Below are 19,605 nucleotides of genomic sequence, written 5' to 3'. Positions count from 1 at the left end.
CCCTAATGGGCACAAATCTGCCCTCATATCTGAATCACCCCCAAAGGCCCCACCTCCTAATACCCTCACACTGGGGAACAGGTTTCAACATAGGAATCTGGAGGGATGCACACACTCAGGCCATAGCAGCAACCCTGGAACAAAAACCCCACAAAGAGGCCGGGTGCGGTGGCTCATGCCTGGAATCCCAGCACTTTGTGAGGTCGAGGCAGGTGGATCACCTGAGGTCGGGAGTTTGAGACCAGCCTGCCCAACGTGGTAAAACCCCCGTCCCTACTAAAAATACAAAAATTAGCCAGGTGTGGTGGCAGGCGCCTATAATCCCAGCTGCTAGGAAGACTGAGGCTGGAGAATCGCTTGAACCCAGGAGGCAGAGGTTGCAGTGAGCCGAGATCACACCATTGTACTCTAGCCTGGGTGACAGGAGCGAAACTCCATCTCAAAAAGAAAGAAAGAAAAAAAAAAACCACAAACACGCGGAGCTGTCACTGGCAGCGGTCCACCCTGTCTGGCTGGAAACACTAGGTGTATTCTGTTTTCCAAACCGCTTGGAGTAAAGACGAGCTCATTCTCATGAGATGACCAGTGCAGCCACAGATTCTATGAATCCTAAGCCCTTGGGACTTCTATTAGGACTGGCGTGGAACACAGCACGTGTTTGGTCCTGATCTGGTGAGGGACGAGTGAATATCCCAGAGTCCCCATGGAATGGGAGGCGGCATCTGCAAGTGGCTCTCAGGGGCTCCATCCCTCGGTCACGGCCACCATAGTCACGGCCACCAGAACGTCTCCCATCCCAGCGTGTTTCTCGGATTTACAGATACTCATTTTCCACACAACAAGGCTCCCAAAGGTGTCACCTGCCATCTGATGCTGGGTGGAAGGAACCGTGCCAAGTTTGTTGAGCAATTTAAGGAAATTTCAAAGACAATTTGGATCACACATAATATTTGCCTTATGCACCAAATTAGACTAATTTTCACTTTATATAACTTTAATTTTCTTTTTATAGGACTCCTATGTATTTCTTTTCTTTTTTTCTATTCTTTTTTGTTTTTTTTTTTTTTTTTTTTTTTTTTGAGACAGAGTCTTGCTCTGTCGGCCAGGCTGGAGTACAGCGGTGCGACCTTGGCTCACTGCAGCTTCCACCTCTCGGGTTCAAGCGATTCTCCTGCCTCAGCCTCCTGAGTAGCTGGGATTATAGGCACCCACCACGATGCCCAGCTAAATTTTGTATTTTTAGTAGAGATGGGGGTTTCACCATGTTGTCCAGGCTGGTCTCCGACTCCTGCCCTCAGGTGATCTGCCCGCCTCAGCCTCCCGAAGTTGCCAGGATTACAGGCGTGAGCCAGTGCGCCCAGCCGGACTCCTCTGTATTTCCGTAGAAGTTATTAGTTATCCTTTGTAGCAATAAATTAGTCGTCAAGATTCATTGCCGTTGTAATGATCTTTAACCTTGGTCTAGTTTTCATTTTTAAGAGGCAAATTGACTTCATTTACTTAAAAAGAGGAAAACTCCACTTGGTTAGAAGAGCAATGTAAGCTGGGCGCGGTGGCTCACGCCTGTAATCCCAGCACTTTGGGAGGCCGAGGCGTGTGGATCACAAGGTCAGGAGATGGAGACCATCCTGGCTAACACGGTGAAACCCTGTCTCTACTAAAAATACAAAAAGTTAGCCAGGCATGGTGGTGGGCACCTGTAGTCCCAGCTATTCGGGAGGCTGAGGCAGGAGAATTGCTTGAACCCGGGAGGTAGAGGTTGCAGTGAGCCGAGATCACGCCACTGCACTCCAGCCTGGGGGACAGAGCAAGACTCCGTCTCAAAAAAATAAAGAAGAGCAATGTAAACTGATTGTAGAAAATACATAAAAAGTATATAGAGGAAAACAGAGATGAGATAAGTGTTTACTGCACATCAACTTACTTCAGGACCCACAATCACCAGGTGCACATTGGGCTCCTCCTGATGCCAGGCTTGGGAAGAAAAAAGAAGACAAAAAAACACTTCAAATGGGTTTAAGTCACAGCTGCAAGCACAACTAACTTCAATATAAATTTCTCAATAACATAAATTATTTCATATCATTTGGCTTTCATTCATAATATTAGGCAATTTAAATTATATTTATTTAGAATTTCTGTATTTGACATTTTATGATTTTAAGTGAATTTCTACAATATTATCCATTGTCCAGATTTCTAATTTACTGGATAACTAGGACTAGTCTCCAATATCACCCCAATTCAATGTGGACTTTGGAATATACCAAGACTGTATCGATTACCTTAAACAATAACCAAAACTCCAAATGCATCACACAAATCAGCATGTGTGAAATATTTTCAGGTAAAATTATTTTAGTCCTATCATTATTTGCTATTTTTATGATTTTCTCAGAACCTGAGGGCACAGGACAGTGGAAAACTAAACAGAAATTCCTCCAAAGAGCTGCTGATCCCATGCATTATTTTTCTGTTCTTTTCCAAAGTAGCAATCTAGAAACAGTTCTGCTCACGTGCAAAGAATGAGGAAAGAAAACTCAGGGCCCTGAAGAGAGAAATGCTGAGATGGGCGCCCACAAGGAATTCTATAAACAGTGGAGGAAGGTAGCCAGCAAACACACCTGAAAATGCGTCCACCAGATAGAGAGGATCCTTAACTTGTCGAAGTCCACATATCAGAAGAAATATGTGCAAATTATCAGCACTTTGGTTAATCTCTGTAAGAGAAGAGTTCAGAATGTTTTCAGTGGGGAGGGCTCTGGATGCTGCAGTAGCAATGACATCACAGATGCATTCAGAAGTGGAGGCCTCTGACTTCGAGGCCAGCTTCTCCTACTCTTATTATTATTATTATTATTATTATTATTATTATTATTATTATTGAGACAGAGTCTTGCTCTGTTGTCCAGGCTGAGTGCAGTGGTGCAATCTCGGCTCGGCTCACTGCAACCTCCTCCTCCTGGGTTCAAGCAATTCTCCTGCCTCAGCCTCCTGAGTAGCTGGGATTATAGGCATGCACCACCACACCTGGCTAATTTTTGTATTTTTAGTAGACATGGGGTTTCACCATGTTGGCCAGGTTGGTCTCAAACTCTGACCTCAGGTGATCTGCCCGCCTTGGGCTCCCAAAGTGCTGGGATTACAGGCGTGAGCCACCACACCCCGCCCCTACTCTTACTTTTATATTAATTTCCTTGCTGTAAACTAATGATTTCTGGTGGGAAAAAATGGAGCTGAGCTCAGGCTGTAAAATGCAACTTTTGCTGCAAAGAAAAAGGATGAGGCACGGGGGAACTGACTCAACTATGACTGAAATAGGAGCCAGACGTTCTAGAAAAGATTTAGATGCAATTCTAGATAGGAAGAATAATGTCTTGATGAAACTAGAAAAATGGTTTATATATTAATGTCCTCATGAACTCATATATGCATAGAGAGATCCACACACCTAAATGAATGCATGTCCTGGAATCAACCCAAACGCCCATCAATGATAGACTGGATCAAGAAAACATGGTACATATACACCATGGAATACTATGCAGCCATAAAAAGGAACGAGATCATGTCCTTTGCAGGGACATGGATAGAGTTGGGAGCCATTATCCTCAGCAAACTAATGCAGGCAGAGAAAACTAAAAACCGAATGTTCTCACTTATCAGTGGGAGCTGAATGATGAGAGCACATGGACACATGGGGGAAGGACACACTGGGGCCTGTCGGAGGGTTGGGGTCGCAGGAGGCAGAGCATCAGGAAGAATAGCTAATGGATGCTTGGGCTTAACACCTAAGTGATTGGATAATCTGTGTAGCAAACCACCATGGCACATTGTTAACCTACATAATAAACCTGCACATCCTGCACATGTACCCAGAACTTAAAATAAAAGTTGAAGAAAAGATAAACAAACACATGTCCATAGGTATATAAAGGAAAATGTATACAGATACCAAACCATCACATTGTACACCTCACATACATATAATTTCATTAATTGTACCTCAATAAATATGGAAAAAGTAAAAAAAAAAAACAAAAAACAATTTATTTATGAAGAAAAGAAAGAAGCAGCATTGTTTCCCAGGTTGGAAGCTGTCACTAAGACTGCTTGTGGTGGATGGCCACAGTCTTTGCAGCCCTTCCCATCTGAAGTGGAACAGATCACTGTACCCCAAGACCCGGGGCTGGCCTGGGACTTCCAATGGCTGTCAGTGGCAGTGGCCATATGTGATTTCCAAGCCTGGGCGGGGGAAGACTTTGTGCTTCCCACTCTCCCCACTGCCCCGTTCACACCGGTACCCTCTAATCTGGCCCCGCGATCTCTGTTCTCATTCTTAAGAATGAGGCTTTTTGGCTGGGCATGGTGGCTCACCAGGATCACTTGAGGTCAGGAGTTCAACATCAGCCAGGCCAAGATGGTGAAACCCCATCTCTACCAAAAATACAAAAATTAACTGGGCGTGGTGGCGGGGGCCTGTAATCCCAGCAATTCAGGAGGCTGAGGCAGGAGAATCACTTGAACCCGGGAGGCGGAGGTTGCAGTGAGCCAAGGTCACTGCACTCTAGTCTGGGTGACAGAGCAAGATGTCTCAAAAAAATAAATAAATAAATAAAAGAGGCTTTTTCTTTTTTTTTCTTTTTTTTTTTGAGACCAAGTCTCACTCTGTCAACTATGCTGGAGTGCAGCAGCACGATCTCGGCTCAGTGCAACCTCCACCTCCCCGGTTCAAGCAATTCTCATCCCTCAGCCTCCCAAGTAGCTGGGATTACAGGCACACACCACCACCCCGAGCTACTTTTTGTATTTTTAGTGGAGATGGGGTTTCGCCATGTTGGCCAGGCTGGTCTCGAACTCCTGACCTCAAGTGATCCGCCCACCTTGGCCTCCCAAAGTGTTAGGATTACAGGCATGAGCCAGTGCTCCAGGCCAAGAATGAGGCTTTAGTCTGGAGACTCCCGGCTGCATGAGGCCCTGGACACATTATGAGCTCATGCAGGACCCAGTGAGGGTTGGGCCGTCTGTAAGTGTCCAAGTGAGCCCAGCGGACACACATGAAGCAGCCCTCGCAGGGCCAAACCCCAGCATCAGGAGAAATGCAGGGGTGGCTGCTTTCAGCTGGTGCATTTTTTTTTTAATGAGAAAATATGTTTAATTTTGTAATAAAAGTTTCTGAAAAAGAGGCGTAAATTTAGACACATTTGCTTCACAGTCCAAATTCCTATAGTGAATCTGCTCTCTAAAGTGAGGGATCCTGGCCAGACGCAGTGGCTCACGCCTGTAATCCCAACATTGTGGGAGGCGGGAGGGCAGATCACCTGAGGTCAGGAGTTCGAGACCAGCCTGACCAACGTGGTGAAATCCCGTCTCTACTAAAAATACAAAAATTAGCTGGCTGTGGTAGCAGGCACTTGTAATCCCAGCTACTGGGGAGGCTGAGGCAGGATAATCGCTTAAACCCGGGAGGCGGAGGTTGCAGTAAGCAGAGATGGTGCACTGCACTCCCAGCCTGGGTAACAGAGTGAGACTCCATCTCAAAAAAAAAAAGAAAAGAAAAAAAGTGAGGGATCCAGACCAAGACATCTGCAGATACAGGAAAAAGCTGAGCCTTATTAGCAAAGACTTTGGAGGCATTAGAAGGTCCAAACCCCCCACCACAGAACAAATGGGAGCAGGTGGTGCATCCTGCGGTGGCTTATTACAGCTCAGTACACGACGCATGCAATAGAAATTGCTAATATATTTTACACAAGCCGACCTAAAACTTCAGCATTTATAACCTGTATAATTGGCCATAAAATTATGCAGGTTCAAGGTTTTCTTTCCCAGCACAGGCATTCGTCCATTATTTAATTCAAGCACTTTCATTTTCTCTATGCTATTCCAAATCTTGAACAAGAATACAACTAGTGTGAATATAATGACTTATGGCGACACCACTTTAATGCAATCACAAAAGCTTCAAAAAATTAATACCCAACGGGAGCAAATCTTACTGAAATGTTAAGATCGAGATGTCGCTCTTAGAAAAGCCTTGGAAAATTGTCACAGCCTCTGAATAAGCCGCTGACAATCTGCATTGTCAATTTTCATTGAATATGTAGAGTTTTTAATATTTCCTTAATACTCTTTTTTTTTTTTTTTTTTTTTTTTGAGATGGAGTCTCAGCCTGTAGCCCAGGCTGGAGTGCAGTGGTGCGTTCTCGGCTCACTGCAACCTCTGCCTCTTGGGTTCAAGCGATTCTCCTGCCTCAGCTCCCTGAGTAGCTGAGACTACAGGCACAGGCCATCATGCCCGGCTCTTTTTGGTATTTTTGGTACAGATGAGGTTTCACCATGTTGGCCAGGCTGGGCTCAAACTCCTGACCTCAGGTGATCCACTGGCTTCATCCTCCCAAAACGCTGGGATTACAGGCATGAGCCACCGCACCTGGCCCTTTCCTTAATATTCTAAGTATCCTGAAGCTAACTTTAGAAATGCAAACCTTAGTGAGTCCTTGTTTGACCAAAAGTCTAAGCTAGACGCTACATGCAGAATTTGAATTGTAGGTCAGAAGAATTTGAGGTTAGGCATTTGAATATGAGGTCAAGAGTCAAGCTATTCATTTTAATAAATGATTGTTAAAAATGGAGAAAACTTTTCAAGATTGAGAGGTCAGGTAGGAGAAACAGTCCAAGCCTACATTACTAGGCAAAAGCCACTAATGAATGCTAAAATTTGCAAGTGAAAGTTTGATGAGGATAGAGATTAAGAGCACCCTCTCAAAAATTACTTACTAATTACAAAGGAAATATAATACCTGTACAGTACACGGAGAAACCAGGGAATACCAGTTTAACTAGGGGAGGAAGCCTTAGCCCAGCACACATAGCTGGTGTGTATACACACACACACACACACACACACACACACAGAGTTTACATAGTCAGAAAAAGATCTCCAGTATTGGGACAAGCTGACGCTGTACACATCCATATGTGACACACTGAGAAGGGAGAAACATCACTTCCCCCATATTCTTGATGTGCATGGAATGTCTATTCATATACACAGAAGGGGGAAGAGGGAAAGAAGGAAGGTACAAGGAGAATCACAAAGGTACCAAAAAGAGGGGGAAGTCAAGAATCAGTATTACCGAATTGGAAAAAAAAAAAAAAGTAAATGTCAAACAAACAAACAATCTACAAAGATGGCATCCAGAGATGGTATTGAAAGCACTGTGTGAAGAACGCAGGTGACGTCAAGATGAAGAGACTCTGTTTAATTCTTCATTTTTGCTATGTGAGAAGTATGAGTGCTGGAAACCTATGTTGTTCCTCTACTCTGACACACTTAGCTACTGAGAACTCGAGGCTCTGAAGACGCATTGGCATTTTGGTCACACAGGCTGTAAAAAAGTGGCCCTCCAACTACCCCCGTCCTGGGATCCCTTGGAAAGATGGCCCTGAGAAGAGAATAATCCATAAGATACAATATTGATTTTCAGAGTTTTTTGACTATGACATACGGTAAGATAAACATATTATGTTGCAACTCAGTCACACGAGATATATAAATACACACATACACATACATAGACATAGAGTTTATATATGATTAAAAACATACTTTAGGCTGACTACATGCAAGCCACTTCGATGTTTTCTATTTGATTTCACTTCAATGTTTAAAAGTGCTGGTCCCTAACTTACTCAATTCATTATGAGACCCCTGACCTGCAAGACGCTGCAGGGAGATGGAGTGAATCCTATATTCCTTTCCTCTCCCCTCATCTTCTTCCTGGGTTGGAGATTAAGTGTAATGGGAATATAGGAAACTAAATTAGAAAATGATAGAATAAAGGGCTATAGACTTGTCTTACTCTAGGTTAAAAAAAAAAAACTAAAAGAAAGAGACAGCATTTGGATTTGAGTAGCTTATGTGCACTTTCCACATACCAAAATATCATTCACCAAAAATAAAGATTATAGAGGAAAAATCCTGATCAAGTGTTCAAGGGCTCAGGCTCATCACACGTAAGCATCAACTCTGATGAATTACACTTCGGGCTCCCTAAAGCCCCTGACAGCTTTAAGGTGGTATAAATTCTTAGCTTTTAACAAAGAACTATTAAATAAGGTTGGCCTGCTGATGCTCAGAGACAGGGCACATACCTGACTAATTTTTTTAATAAATGTTGTCTCCTCCTTTTAATGCCAAACTTATTTTTATTACCTTTGCTTTTCCTCTAATATCTAGGTTATCCATGAGTCAAGATTTGAACTCGTCACTTAACAAATGTCTTTCCGATAGAACCATTTCCTGGAGAACGGTATTTTTATCTTCAAAACAAAATGTGTTGTTTTCACGATCTGGCATATTGCTGCCAACAGCTACACTCCACATTGCTTAATCTCCCAAGTATGAGTCATGAGCGGGCTCAGGAACAGAAACCCAATCCACGCTGAGGCAGTCTCTATGCCCTGTATTCTATTCTAGAAGCTGTCTTTATTATTTTCTTTTTTCTTTCTTTCTTTTTTTTGAGACAAAGTTTCACTCTTGTTGTCCAGGCTGGAGTGCAATGCCGCAATCTCACCTCACTGCAACCTCCGCCTCCCAGGTCCAAGCAATTCTCCTGTCTCAGCCTCCCAAGTAGCTGGGATTACAGACATGCACTACCACACCTGGCTAATTTTTGTATTTTTAATAGAGACAGGACTTCACCATGTTGGTCAAGCTGGTCTTGAACTCCTGACCCTCAAGTGATCCGCTGCCTCGGCCTCCGGCCTCCCGAAGTGCTGGGATTACAGGCGTGAGCCACTGCGCCAGGACACACTCTTCATTATTTTTCACTTGTTATTACAAAAAAAAAGTACTTCAGTCGAACACATTAGACTTACTAAATTATAGCTGAAAAAGCTGATTTGGGGGCTATGCAAGAATAAAGGCTTCTACTAACACTAGTTTTCCATACAAAAAACAAGTGAGTTTTCCTAGGACTAGCCTGAGGAAGAAAAGTGCTACAATCTGAGTTAGGCAAATTTGAGTTTCCATTATAGAAATACAAATAGAGTTGACAGAGAGATAGAGAGAGAGATGGAGGGGGAGAGAGAGAGAGAGAGAGAGAGAGAGAGAGAGAGAGAGAGAGAGAGAAATAAGCAATAAAACTAGAAATACAATAAAACAGAAATCAGAAAAACAGGAAGGAGTTACCCAGTCAATTTAAGCTTTCATACGTTTTAGGTTTGATAGCCTGAAAGGAATCATGACTTTAGATGTGTTGGTTATTGAAATTTAAAGGCAAAATTCATAGAACATGGAATCATCACATTTAAAATGTATCTAGAAATGCACAGAAAAACTCAAAGACCAGGTAACTAATTTGATGTCTACACATCTATCTTCCAATCAGAATAGCTATTGTCAATATCGTGTGAAAAAATTACAACCATGCCATTTACTACACTTAACCTGCTTTATTATTTATTTGTTCTTAGTTGACCTGTTTGTATGTGAGATAATGGTAAGCATAAGAGGGGTTTGATGTTTTAAATTAAGGAGACTTACTCATTCTTTAGCTGGGGCTTAGAGATAGAATTGAGTATGGTCAGAAAACCTGTGACATGCCGGAAGAGGAGAATGCATCGCCACGTGGACATCAGACATTTAAGAAGCACACTACACACCCTGGTGACTAATCAATCACTCAACTGTTTATATGCAGTGTTAAATGAAGCCCTTCCCACCCACTCCCCCTGATTTCAAGGTTAATAGTTGGTGAGAAGGCAGATGGTATCTGATCACTAATAGTGTCTACCAACTTCACTCTACCTTCTGTTTTCACTGTCTGAAGCTCCAAGTGGGAGGGACAAATCACAGTCACAGGTTTCCAATGCTCCAGAGGCCAAGGGAAGATAGAGTAAGGTTGATGAGGACGGCCCATCCCCAGAGCCTGAGAGACGACAAAGACAAACGATGGCACAAATGCGAACAGATGCCTGATCATAAAACCCAGAGACGCAGATTAATCCTACATCTACCCTTAAGCCGTTATCTGCCACTGTCAGCTATCAGAGCCACAACCAGTCTCTCTAAGCCCATATATTCTGAATACATTTACAACTTCTAATTGCACACATTAAGATTAAGCAGCAGCCAAGTAGGTCTCCAGAGGAAAACGCTTTGTAAGGAGTGTTTAAAATCTCCTGGCTGTTCCCTTAATCATTCAATAGCAAGACCAACGAAACAGTCAACCCTGAGACTATGGAATGTGATGACAAATCATTCTCCTACTGGAAATTATGAATCTTAGTTACAACGCCATTGCGTCCTGTGATAGATTGAAGACAGACTAACCTTACAACAGGAAATTGAAAATGGGCCCACTCGTTCTGAATAATGGTACATGTAACTGACATGACAAAGCAGCTGAGGTCGTGTGGGTTCATCTGTAATACTGAGAACAGCCATGCTAGTGTGGCTGAGATTGATGAATACACTACGAAAATTATTTCTGATAAAATGCTTGGAAATTTTTCTTTTCAATAGAACTTAATACTGACATAGAGTATGTGGTAGAGGCTTTGTTTCAAGTCTTTTTTGTTTCATTTTATCTTATTTTATTTTAAGTTCCAGGATACGTGTGCAGGATGTGCAGGTGTGTTACACAGGTAAACGTGTGCCATGGTGGTTTGCTGCATCTATCAACCCATCACCTAGGTATTAAGCCCAGCATGCATTAGCTATTTTTCCTGATGCTCTCCTGATGCCCCCAGCCCTACCCTCTCCTGACAGGTCCCAGTGTGTGTTATTCCCCTCCCTGTGTCCACATGTTCTCATTGTTCAGCTCCCACTTATAAGTTGAGAACATGCGGTGTTTGGTTTTCTGTTCCTGCCTTAGTTTGCTGAGGATAACGGCTTCCAGCTTCATCCATGTTCCTGCAAAGGACATGATCTTGTTCGTTTTTATGGCTGCATAGTATTCCACGGTGTCTATGTACCACATTTTCTTTATCCAGTCTATCACTGATGGGCATTTGGGTTGATTCCATGTCTTTGCTATTGTGAATAGTGCTGCAATGAACATACACGTGCATGTATCTTTATAACAGAATGATATATATTCCTTTGGGTATATACCCAGTAATGGGATTGCTGGGTCAAATAGTATCTTTGTGGAATTGCCACACTGTCTTCCAAAACGGTTGAACTAATTTACATCCCCACTAACAGGGTAAAAGCGTTCTTATTTCTCCACAAGCTCGCCAGCATCTGTTGTTTTTTGGCCTCTTAATAATCGCCATTCTGACTGATGTGCGATGTTATCTCATTGTGGTTTCGATTTGCATTTCTCTAATGATCAGTGGATGATGAACTTTTTTCATATGTTTTTTGGCTGCATGTATGTCTTCTTGTTTCAAGTCTTTAGCATGAAAACAGACTTGGGGTGTCTTTCTGTTTGCTGAGGGCAGAGAATTGATTTTGCATCTTCAGTCTCTTCTTAGAAGTTTGCAGCAGGAGGCTAGGCGAGGTGGCTCATGCCTGTAATCCCGGCACTTTGGGAAGCTGAGGCAGATGGCTTACTTGAGCTCAGGAGTTGAAGACCAGCCTGGCCAACATGGTGAAAACCCTCTCTCTCCAAAAAATACAGAAAATTAGCCAGGTGTGGTGGGGCGTGCCTGTAATCCCAGCTACTTGAGAGGCTAAGGCAGGAGAATCGCTTGAAGCCAGGAGGTGGAGGTTCAATGTAACAGGATTTTACAGAAATTGATGAGTTGAGCCCCAAATTTAAATTGATATGCAAAAAACCTAGAATAGCTAAAATAATTCTGAAACAAAGTTATTGACTAACACTACTTGGTTTCTAGACTTACTATTACCCTATACCAACAAAACAGCATGATATTGGAATAAAGATAGGCATAGATAATGGAAGGCCACATACAGTAAACTGACTTTCAACGAAGGCACCAGAGCAATTCAATGGGCAAAGAAAAACATTTCCAATAAATGACGCCGGAACCATCTGGATATTGTTAAGAAAAAAAAACAGATCCCTACCTCATACAACACACAAATAGTAATTTCAGATGGATTTATAATCTTAAATGAAAGAGCTACAGCACTAAAACTTCTAAAGACATTTTAAAAAGAAAGAAAAACATCTTTGTGACCCTAGGGTAGGTAAAGATTTTGTAGACAGGACTCAAAAGCACTAACCATCAAAGAAAAAGTTTGATAAACTCGACTTCAATAAAATTTAAGCCTCTTCTGCTCTTCAAAAGACATGGTTAAGCAAACAAAAATATAAACCAGATAATGGGAGAAAATATTAACAATATATTTATCTGACAAAAGGCTTGTACCTAGAATATAAGGAAGTTCTACAAACCAATAATTAGAAGACACACACACACAATTGGCTAGACACTCACGAAACAAGATACATGAATGGCCAACGCGCACATAAAAAGGTGCTGAACAAAATTAATCATCAGGGAAATGAAACTTAGAAGAATGACAATGAGACACCATTTCATTATCTCCCTAGAACAACTAAAATTGAAAAGACTGTCTACTCCACCGGTGGGCAAGAATGTGGAGTAACTGAAGCTCTTGTCAGCTTCTGTGGAAGTGTAAGATGGCACACCTTGGAGAACTGTTTGGATATTTTTTATAATGTTAATCATATAGTCAAGCTATTTGACTTAGAGGCATTTATCCAAGAGAAGTGAAAACATAGGTCACCAAAAAACCTTGCACAAGGATATTCATAGTAAATGTATTTGTAACGGTTAAAAATGGAAAACAAGCTAAAAGTTCATCAATAGAAGAAGAGATAAACAATTTGTGATATATGGAATGAAATACACCATTCCAAAATAGAATACTAAGAAAAAAGGTCTACAGATACACACAATAGGGATAAATCTCAAACACATTAGTTGAACAAAGAAAGCCAGATACAAAAAATTATTCAATGCATGACTCCACTTAGATGAAGTTCAAGAACAGGTAAAACTAATCTAAGATAAGAAAAATTAGACTAGGAATCGCCTATAAAGAGACAGAAATTAAATATGGAAGAGGGCATGAGAGAACTTTCTTGAGTGGTGGAAATGTTATCTATCTTGATTGGGGTATTTGTCACATGGGTATATACATTTGTCAAACATTTGCCTAATTTTACACTTGAGATCTCTGCATTTCACTGCATACAAACTATAGAATTATTTTAAAAAAAGGATGAGTTCACTCTATTCTACTGACATAATGAGCAAAGAAGGCAGGTTAGAGTAGTAAGTGAAGCTTGACTTTGTCTTTTAAACATCATTATTTACATGTAAATTGTTGAGAAAGATCACATCAAACATTAATAGCAGTTTCTTTTTGGTGATGAAATTTCAAGTGATTAAAATTTTTGTTGCATTTTTTGGCCAGGCCCAGTGGCTCATGCCTGGATTCCCAGCACTTTGGGAGGCTGAGGTGGGTGGATCACCTGATCAGGAGTTCGAGACCAGCCTGGCCAATACGGCAAAACCCCGTCTCCATTAAAAATACAAAAATTAGCCAGGCATGGTGGCGCATGCATGTAGTACCAGCTACTTAGGAGGCTGAGGCAGGAGAATCACTTGAACCCGGGAGGTAGAGGCTGCAGTGAGTCTAGATCACACCACTGCACTCCAGCCTGGGCAACAGAACGAGACTCCATCTCAAAAAAAAAAAAAAATGTGTTGCATATTCTGATATTTTCTCATTTTTCTACAATGGTAATTTAACTACGTGTATAATTAGTAAAGTAAAATAAAATGAACACATGAGGTTGTTATTCTTATAAAGAACAAATGTCACAGGAAATGATACTGAAAATTTGGAAAGCAGGTGCTAAAAACAGCATCAGAAAGGGCCAGAGCCCCTGTCTCTCTGGCTTTCTAGCCCTGCTGTTCCTCAAAAGGATAAAACTACTCATGAAGCCGCAGACAGAGGGAAATGAACCTTGTTCTCTCTGACAACCACTTTTTCAAAACCGCATGAACGTCACAAGCTCCTGAAAGTAACTGACAAGATGCACTTCATCAAAATCCTCTAAGAAGATCTCATGTCTCACCAGAGCGTTGAAGAAAGGTATTCCAGTTAAAAGCGGCGTTTGGTGTTGTTGCAATTCCTGGGTCAAAGAAACAAAAAAAGGGCAAGTTCACTTTGAAGCGACTGCTGAAATACAATGAGTTATTTTGTGTTGAGGCTTATTATTATTATTACTATTATTCTTATTATTTTGAGACAGAGTCTCGCTCTGTCACCCAGGCTGCAGTGCAGTGCCACGATCTCTGCTCACTGCAACCTCCTCTTCCCGGTTTGAAGCGATTCTCCTGCCTCAGCCTCCCGAGTAGCTGGGAGTATAGGCGCCCGCTGCCACACCCGGCTAATTTTTGTATTTTTAGTAGAGACAGGGTTTCACCATGTTGGCCAGGCTGGTCTCGAACTCCTGACTTCAAGTGATCCTCCCGCCTCAGCCTCCCAAAGTGCTGGGATTACAGGTGTAAGCCACCACACACGGCCCACTTGTGTTGAAGTTTAAATAACAGTAGCACCTGGTTTTTATAAAGCCGCTCGATGCTCTGAGTGTGTCACTGAAGTCCCATGAATCCTTCAGCACAGGAGGGTTAAAAAGAGCCCATGGATTCCACATGAGAAAAGACGCACCCCTTTCAGCCCCAGGATCCATGACAGGCCCAAACGGGGTTAGGGGTTAGACAAACCTTGAGTTCCTTAAAAATGCCAGGAAGTAACAGGTTTCAAAAACACTGTCAGCTAAGCCCCATGTGAAAATTATACCTCCCTGTAAAATTCCCACTCTCAACCCTCACCAACTCATGCCTGATGGTCTGTTGGCTATTACTTCTTCAGAGAGAGAAGTTACATTTAATTTTTGCTGAAAAAAAAAATGACTATTTTACAATTTAGAAATTCAGAGGCAACGTCTAACACGTTATCTTGGTAACAGAAACATTTTGAAATTTTATAAAATGTAAGTAAATCAAGTCATCTAACCACCTCCAAAATCCACCTGCATAATCGTTATTCACACTGAATCATACTGACAGCGGCTATTTAACAAGCGCCCATTTCAAGCCAGCCCTGGGCTCCGACTGCATGTAGGCGCTTTCCATACTCCACTGTAACCCTTAAAGGCCCACTGAGCAGACTGCTTCCTCCAGTTTATCCAGCTGGACACTGATGTTCAAAGAGGTTAAACGCACTTCAAAATGCGCAGGGTGGAGGTGGTAGACGCTGTGTTCAAACCTACGCGCTGCCTCAGAGCCCAGGTTTTTCCTGCTGCACCAGCTAAAAATGTCACTGAAGCCAATGCAGCAAGGACACGGTGATGACAGGATGCCGTGCCTCACTAAGGTGCGCCTGAGCACCATGGAAGTCCTCAGGAGGCCCGAACGCCTGGCCTCAGCCTCTGCACTCGTTCTAACCTGAGCTTGGGGCCAATTACATGTTCTTCCTTGGATCTAGTCTTTCCATTATTTCTATCATGTAGTACAGTGGTTTACAAACTGTGTTTAGAGAGGCCGGGCACGGTGGCTCACACCTGGAACCCCAGCAATCTGGGAGGCCAAGGCGGACAGATCACCTGAGGTCAGGAGTTCAAGATCAGCCTAGCCAACACAGTAAAACCCTGTCTCTACAAAATACACAAAAATTAGCTGGGCGTGGTGGGGGGGCACCTGTAATCCCAGCTACTCGGGAGGCTGAGGCAGGAGAATTGCTTGAACCCAGGAGGCGGAGGTTGACGTGAACCAAGATTGCGCCACTGCACTCCAGCCTGGGCGACAGAGCAAGACTTCATCTCAAAACAAAAACAAAAAACTGTGTTTAAACCTCAGAGGGTTTGATGAAGGGCCTCAGATGCCACCATAGGGGCAGAATTGGGCAGGGAGGAAGGAGGAGTATGAAGGGAGAAGAGTTCCAGTTCCCCCAACTCAAGTCAGCTGAAACAGAAGCTCCGCATTTGGTTTGGTTTGTTTTTTCCAAACATACTGCTGATGGAGTATATCGTACTTCTACTGGCAGAAAATGTTAAGTGATCCGCATTTTAAATCATTATTTTATAATTTCTCCTATTTATCTTTTATTCTAATGTTAGAAAAATCTTAACAATGTAGCCATTCTCAGGCAGATTGCTTGAGCCCAGGAGTTCAAGACCAACCTGGGCAACATGGCGAAACCCCATTTCTACAAGGAATACAAAAAAAATCAGCTGGGCATGGCGGCTCATGCCTGCCTATAGTCCCAGCTACTGGGGGGGCTGAGGCTAGAGAAACGCTTTAACCCAGGAGGCAGAGGTTGCAGTAAGCCGAGATCGCACAACCGCACTCCAGCCTAGGCGACAGAGCCAGACCTTGTCTCAAAAAAGAAAAAAAAAAGTAGCCATTTCACTGATTATTTTTAAGTAAATCTGAGAAATCATATTATCTCCTTCATAAACATCTCAATATGTGTCTCTTAAGGATGCAAACTTATTCTTTTAAATATATATATATATTTATCACATATAAATATGCATCTATTTTGATATATTCATTCTCTATCCCTGTACATAAGTAAATAAATATTTTAAAAATCTTACCTTGACTCTGGACATAGACCTTACCCTTAGCATGCGGCTTTTGAAAGGAGGGGAGAGAGAAAAGAAAAGTACATTGGACAGTGCATGACAACTGCTTTTTAGAAATAAAATGAAGGTCATTAACAAAAAAAGCCGTCCTGGAAAACATCACTGAGAATCATCTACACAGCTGCTCATAGACTTATTACTCTGTAAGAGCAAAGCATTACTTCTGCTTTTTAATAGGTTTTGCCATTAAAAATACAGCATCTATAAGGTAAGAAGCACACACACAAAAAGTCTCTTAAATGAGGCCTAATGCAATTTTGCAATTTTACACTTGCTATATTAGTGGAGACATTACTGAAGTTCAGCCAGAGAGCATGCCAGTGCCGGCCCAGCTGATGCAGCTCCCGCCCCTGCGTGGAGGTGGAGGTTTGGGGAAGCATGTTATGGCTTATGCATCCCTGAGGGGAAGACTGCTTCCACCACCCCCAGAAAAAAAGAAGAAAGGAGCAGGAGGAGAAGGAGGAGCTGCCAATATGTTGGGAAACCAAAGACAGGCCCCAGGAGGCAGATCCTTCCAGGCAAGGGAGGACAGCCGGGTGGAAAGCGTCTGGTAAGTTACCTCCCTGGCACCAAGCAAAAGGCGGCCCTTGCATGACGGATATGGATATTTGTACCAAGATATCAACTTACTATTCCTTGCCATGTTTTCTGGTGGAATGTCACAAAACTACTAGAGAGAAATTGAATCCATTTCTCCAGTTCATTTTGAAACAGTGGCAGGAATATTTTTAAGGTGACGTTTAGATGGAAAGGTGGAGGCAGGAGCAGAGTGATGGAGCAAGTCCATGCCAAGGACGGTTTCTCTCAAGTGATCAAAACAGGCCGTCATTTTGGTGAAAGAGTCCAAAAATGGATGTCTTTTTGTCATGTGACCTAAGCCTGATCAATGCATTAAGTGACTGAACTAGCTAGATCCCTGGAGGTCACAGAAGACACACCCCTGTCCTTCCTCGGTGTAGGGATACAGTGTGGTCTTTAGGGCACCAGGGAGCCCTCGGCACTGCATGGGGTATGCTGATCCACGTTGGACGTTGTCCCCACTTCAGTTTTATATTTTGGGACACAAGCTAAAGTGAAGTAGCCCTGCCAAGGGCGAGACAATCAACAGGAAGAAGGAGACTGGCCCTCCCCAAGCCTGGGAAGGTTTGGTAGAGGCAGCATCCAGGCAGAAGGTGGGTGGCACGGCCAGGCATGGTGGCTCACCCATATGATCCCAGCACTTTGGGAGGCCGAGGCAGGCAAATCATTTGAGGTCAGGAGGTCAAAACCAGTCTGGGCAACATGGTGAAACCCTGTCTCTACTAAAAATACAAAAATTAGCCGGGTGTGGCGGCATGCGCCTGTAATCCCAGCTGCTTGGGAGGCTGAGGCAGGACAATCGCTTGAACCCGGGAGGCGGAGGTTGCAGTGAGCCGACATTGCGCCACTGCACTCCAGACTAAGCGACAGAGTGAGACTCTGCCTGAAAAATAAAAAAAATAAAGAAGGTGGTGGGTACACACGAGGCTCGGTATGGTGTTGGTTTTGTCCTTAGCATCGCATTTTGTATTTCACTACAGGAAGCATCTCAAGCCTCCAGAAGTCTTGCCTCTCCTCCCCACTTCATCGTGCAAGCAGGTATGTGTGGTATTCCAAATGCCCTTAAAATAGTAAACCTTTAAGAGAGAGTTTCAAAGACCTCTTCTCTACCAGTTAAAAAAGACATTAACTTTAATGAAAAAAAAAAAAAGGCTAAAGGCGACCATTGAAATTAGAAATTGCAGTTCAGAGCCCTAAACTACTCCTTATGCTGAATTATAATTTCCCTGGAAAGCTGGAAGAGCTGTTACTGGAGTGTAGTGGAGGCTTGGAGTGTTTCTTCCTAAAACAACCCTGTGTCCAAAACACTCGCCTGGCAACATCTTGAAGATGGATGGTAAAGCACTCACAATAGAACACCATGGCATTTAACTTAATATAACTTAATATAAGTGTTTGACAATAACAGATTCAGCATAATCCTAGATAAATATAAGGTGAGGCAACATAGAGTTTATAGTTTTTGTCACTATTTTCATTGGAAATAGGCTCTGCAATTAGCAATACATAAACTCAAAATGTTCCTGTCAAGAAACTCCTTTTTCCACCAAAAAAAAAAAAAAAAAAAAAGAGTTAAACTTGTATCTCAGCTCTGTCAGCAGAAGGAATTGACTGAAAGTGAAGATTTCTGGACTTATCTGCTGATCTTCCCACATCTCTGAGCATCATTTTTCTAATCATTTGAAAAGCGTTGCATAAATGGTATTTTCAGATCTCATCCAGGCAAACAGAGGAAATAAAGTTGCAGTATAAAGGAAGTCTGGACCTGAGTTATTTGTAATCATTGCAATAAAAGAAATCTGGCAAAAGCCAATTGGCTTATATTGATTTTGAAAAACATTTTCTATATGAAAGTGTAACAAATACAAATTAGCTTTCTTTGCTCAATATTTATTATTGTTCTCTCTGCCTTGAAATAACATGAGTCAAAGTCCTTGTGTACGGCCTGCCTTGCAGATTAGCTCATCAGTGCACACAATGGCAAACACTGAGGTGTGTCTATCAGCAACTGTTACCTCTTTGGCTCATTACTGGATATAAAAAGCCAGGATCCTATTGGATAGATACCTATAAATAGATGGACTTCTAACAGACCCAAGGACTAACTGATACCTTTTCATGCTGGAAATAACATCAACCAAAGAACTTCCCATTCTTTGACTAAACATAAGCCAGAGATTCACCTTCTAAAATTAAACTTTCTGCAAATGGAAACCACAATAGATTATTTTTGAAATACAGGCACAATTTTATGCTCTACAGATGACAAAAATAATAGTTTTTGTTCTGAAATTATAATACAACTTCAGACTGTGGCTTTGTAAAAACTACTTGTAAAACGATTACAAACTGCTTAAAAG

General features: G+C 42.4%; 1 protein-coding gene across 12 annotated transcripts in view, besides 1 other annotated feature; it reads right to left on the bottom strand.

The window, feature by feature from the left end:
- The window catches only part of GLT1D1 (glycosyltransferase 1 domain containing 1), a 131,491-nt gene that overhangs the window by 55,890 nt on the left and 55,996 nt on the right, over window positions 1-19,605 (bottom strand). For 7 of the 12 annotated variants that reach the window (NR_133646.2, XR_001748588.2, NM_001366889.1 and 4 more), the window contains 4 exons: window positions 16,619-16,655; window positions 14,090-14,146; window positions 2,625-2,720; window positions 1,925-1,974 (listed from right to left, as the gene is read on the bottom strand). The exons of 1 other annotated variant lie outside the window; for it this stretch is intronic. Coding sequence is in view for 8 of the 11 variants with exons in the window: in NM_001366889.1 (NP_001353818.1) it covers window positions 1,925-1,974; window positions 2,625-2,720; window positions 14,090-14,146; window positions 16,619-16,655 (240 nt within the window). In the remaining 3 variants the exon portion in view is untranslated. The remainder of the gene's footprint in view (window positions 1-1,924; window positions 1,975-2,624; window positions 2,721-14,089; window positions 14,147-16,618; window positions 16,656-19,605) is intronic. 4 more of the 12 variants (NR_159493.1, NM_001366888.1, XM_047428373.1 and 1 more) reach the window with 2 other exon arrangements.
- Window positions 12,464-12,583: an enhancer, noted in NCBI's record as "active region_7342". NCBI's record gives its function as "activates an Ori minimal core promoter by ATAC-STARR-seq in GM12878 lymphoblastoid cells {active_cell/tissue: GM12878}" and the evidence as "EXISTENCE:reporter gene assay evidence [ECO:0000049][PMID:35858748]".

The sequence above is a fragment of the Homo sapiens genome, chromosome 12 (assembly GCF_000001405.40).
Source record: "Homo sapiens chromosome 12, GRCh38.p14 Primary Assembly".
NCBI classification, from domain to species: Eukaryota; Metazoa; Chordata; class Mammalia; order Primates; family Hominidae; genus Homo; species Homo sapiens.
Note: the sequence above shows the minus strand (reverse complement) of the source record. Positions and strands in the feature narration are given on the sequence as shown.